The 3,106-nt window shown below is 37.3% G+C and overlaps 1 pseudogene; it reads right to left on the bottom strand.

The window, feature by feature from the left end:
• On the bottom strand, positions 1,689-2,713 carry AGPAT5P1 (1-acylglycerol-3-phosphate O-acyltransferase 5 pseudogene 1; annotated as a pseudogene).

Here is a 3,106-nt window from a genome sequence, read left to right as displayed (position 1 = left end):
TACAATTTGGCATGAGCTCAATTTTCATAAGTTTTATCTATGCCCCCATTCATAGTCAGGTCAGCTGCATCCTGAGTGTATGTGAACATGTGTATACATCTACATACTAACATATACAAACTCATACTATGTGACTCTTCAAAGGTGTTGCTTGAAATGGCTTATTCTCTAGTTTTGGATAAGCAGTGTAATGCAGCCAGATATGATTTTCCTTAGGTTTTTTTTTTCATTTTGTTTATCATGATTCGATCGGTGTGTTTCATTTGGATCATTGGTATAATTTTCTAGCAAAAATTCACTAGCAGTAAGCAGAAATGTTAACATAAAGAATAAGTAGCCAATCAAGTTTAAATTATAACATAAAAAAGAGCATTTCACATTTTTTTAAAAGCATTATTCTATGGAATATATTATTACATGACTGGAAATTATGTGATTTCATTCTTGGAACGAAGCTCTTGTTCTGTGGTGACACTTTAAATTACTGTATAACTCCATTAAAACTAATGTAATATAAACAAATTAACTCAGTTCTGATGAATTAAGTCTGCATTCCATTGGCTTGAGGAAGGTGATTTTCCCTACACAAATGCAAAATTCCTCTTCGGTAGCCAGTGAAGCTCACTCACAAGGGCTTAAAGAGTTCAACTTTGAAACAGGGCAACACTGGCTAGCACTGCATTTCCTCACTGCAAGTCTACACTCAAGCCACTGAGCAGCATCACTGAAGGAAATCCAAGGGGAAAGGACTAGAACACAGTGGAAATCTACCAGGGTAACATAAAAGTGATTTTTGAATTAAGTATTTTTGCTAAAGCAAAGAAAAATAGGCACATGGTAGTAAATCTTGTCGAAATGTCTGTAGGCTCCCATTACATCAAATATCTGTGAACTCAAGGTCTAACAAAAGTTCTCACAGGTTATTTTCACGTAAAAAATAATCGGGAACCTTAATGTTTCAAACACAGCACAAAGGTTGGGAAGTACTAAAGTGTAGCTTAAGTCTTCAAAATGGTGGGCAATTTAAAGTTCTGTTTCAGTGAATCAAATTTACAATTTTAACTTAAACTACATTCTCATATGTTATACATTATTCTTTTGTGTAGAGTACAGGGTGTGCAAATTAAGCAATTTCAATATATATTAGAAAAGTTCATTATTTTGCAAAATAGAAAGTGAACAAAATCAGCTAATAATGCAATGTAATGAAAACTTGCACTAAATAGAGCTTCTTCCCCATGAAAATTTTCCCCTTTTCCTTTAACATCTTCATATTTAAATACCATTTATTTCATTCACTTGCAGAAATTAAGAAAGAAGTGAAATATTACATAGCTGCAAGATACTAATTAGTGATAAGAGTTTGGAGCTGTTAGGTTGTAATAAATGGAAAATAACAAGAATAGTAAAATATGCTGAAAATTAATGTTCAAATGTAGTAATTTGAATTACAAAACAATAACAAATTATGAAATCCCTAATCTTCTGAAGGTGTCATGGGAACTGTCTGTTTAGCTTTTACCTCACCAGCAGCCTCATGACTAAAGGTATAAAACCATGTATGATTGTGCAAGACCAACCACATATTGGCTTTAGTCACAAATTTTTAAATGGTTTTACTGATGGCATGCTTGTGACCAGAGCCTGGAAGGAAACTGTATGTAAAACATACAGTGGACATATGGAACCTTGCTTCTAGCCTCTGGTCATAAGCATGCCATCAGTCAAACCATTTAAGATGAATACTGATGCTAAAGTCTTCTTGATTCTTAATTCGAAATTAACAGTTTTTCTAAGAAATTTGTTTCTTCTTTCTGGGTCTGGTGAGTCATAGTTCTTTGAAACCTTATTTTTTTTATTTCAAAATGTTCATGAAGCCATCCTCTCATATATTCTTGCCCTTCTGGGACACGTTTTTTGTCTGTATCATCAATGTGAGTAATAATTTTGGGGCATTCTTTGCAGAGAAATTCAGTCATGGATAGTGATTTTTGAGTTTCTCCTTATCATCTTTTCCTTCATAAACTACTGTAACATTACAAATTGCATCAACTAATTCTTCATAGAATTAAAAGCAACATGAGCTGTCTTTGTTAGTGGTGTCAGCATGCTCTAATACTGCAAGGCCTTGTTGAGCAGCAAATTGACGAGCTGAAAGGACTTGTTTGTCTGGTGTTATACCTTGTACCTTCTGGAAAAAAATCATAAAATGCATAGCAGTTTCCGCATTCATGTAGCTCTGCCACTTGTTTCTCATTTCTTTTTCAATACATTTGGCACTTTCTTTTAGATTCCTCCATGCTGAGACAAGTAACACCTGTATGATGGAAGTCATTTTAATCTTTCAGCACAGAGCACATAGGTCCAAGAGCATTCGGCTCAATGGCCAATATATCAGTAACAATCCAGTCAACTGTGCTTTGATGATTTGCTAAATACATTATATTTTTCTTAATTTTTGGCATACTTCCATGTAGCAATATCTGTACTCTGGTGTAGTTCTCAAAGAGCGCCACACTCTGGTAGACGCAGTAGAGCCAGCTGTCCACCGCCTGGAAGAAGCTGGCGGACGGGATGACGGAGGGCAGCTGCCAGACTCCCCAGGCCGGCACATGGGTGAGCACCATGCCTAGGAGCATGACGTCCGAAGCAGGCGAGTACATGTGAAGTACTAGAGACAGCAGCATCTTCCTGGCTCTGTGGCTGAAGGCTCTGCCTGCTCTTGCGGCCCCACTGCCCGGGGCCCTCAGCCAAGGCAGGCTTAACGGTCAGTCATCACGCCAGCCAGACCCACCATCACTCCCTCACTGCTTGGTTCCCTGCCATAGTTCTCAACCTCCTCCCCCAGCCACTAGGGTCACATGGCCATTGGGCATGTGGAGGTCAGGACAAGTACGGGCCTGACGTATTTGCTCAAGGTCTCATGTCTTCTCTTAATTGAACCTCTTTCTCTCTCTCTTTTTCTTTTTTCCTGATTTGGAAAGTTTATGCTCCAAATTTCTCTTAAGTTGAAGCACATGAGACACAATATTTAATGAGTTGTTAATATGTCTTTATAGTACTTTAATTGATAATTTAGTTAGCTGTATAATTTTAGGTTTTGTAA

Source organism: Homo sapiens, chromosome Y, assembly GCF_000001405.40.
Source record: "Homo sapiens chromosome Y, GRCh38.p14 Primary Assembly".
NCBI lineage: Eukaryota > Metazoa > Chordata > Mammalia > Primates > Hominidae > Homo > Homo sapiens.
Note: the sequence above shows the minus strand (reverse complement) of the source record. Positions and strands in the feature narration are given on the sequence as shown.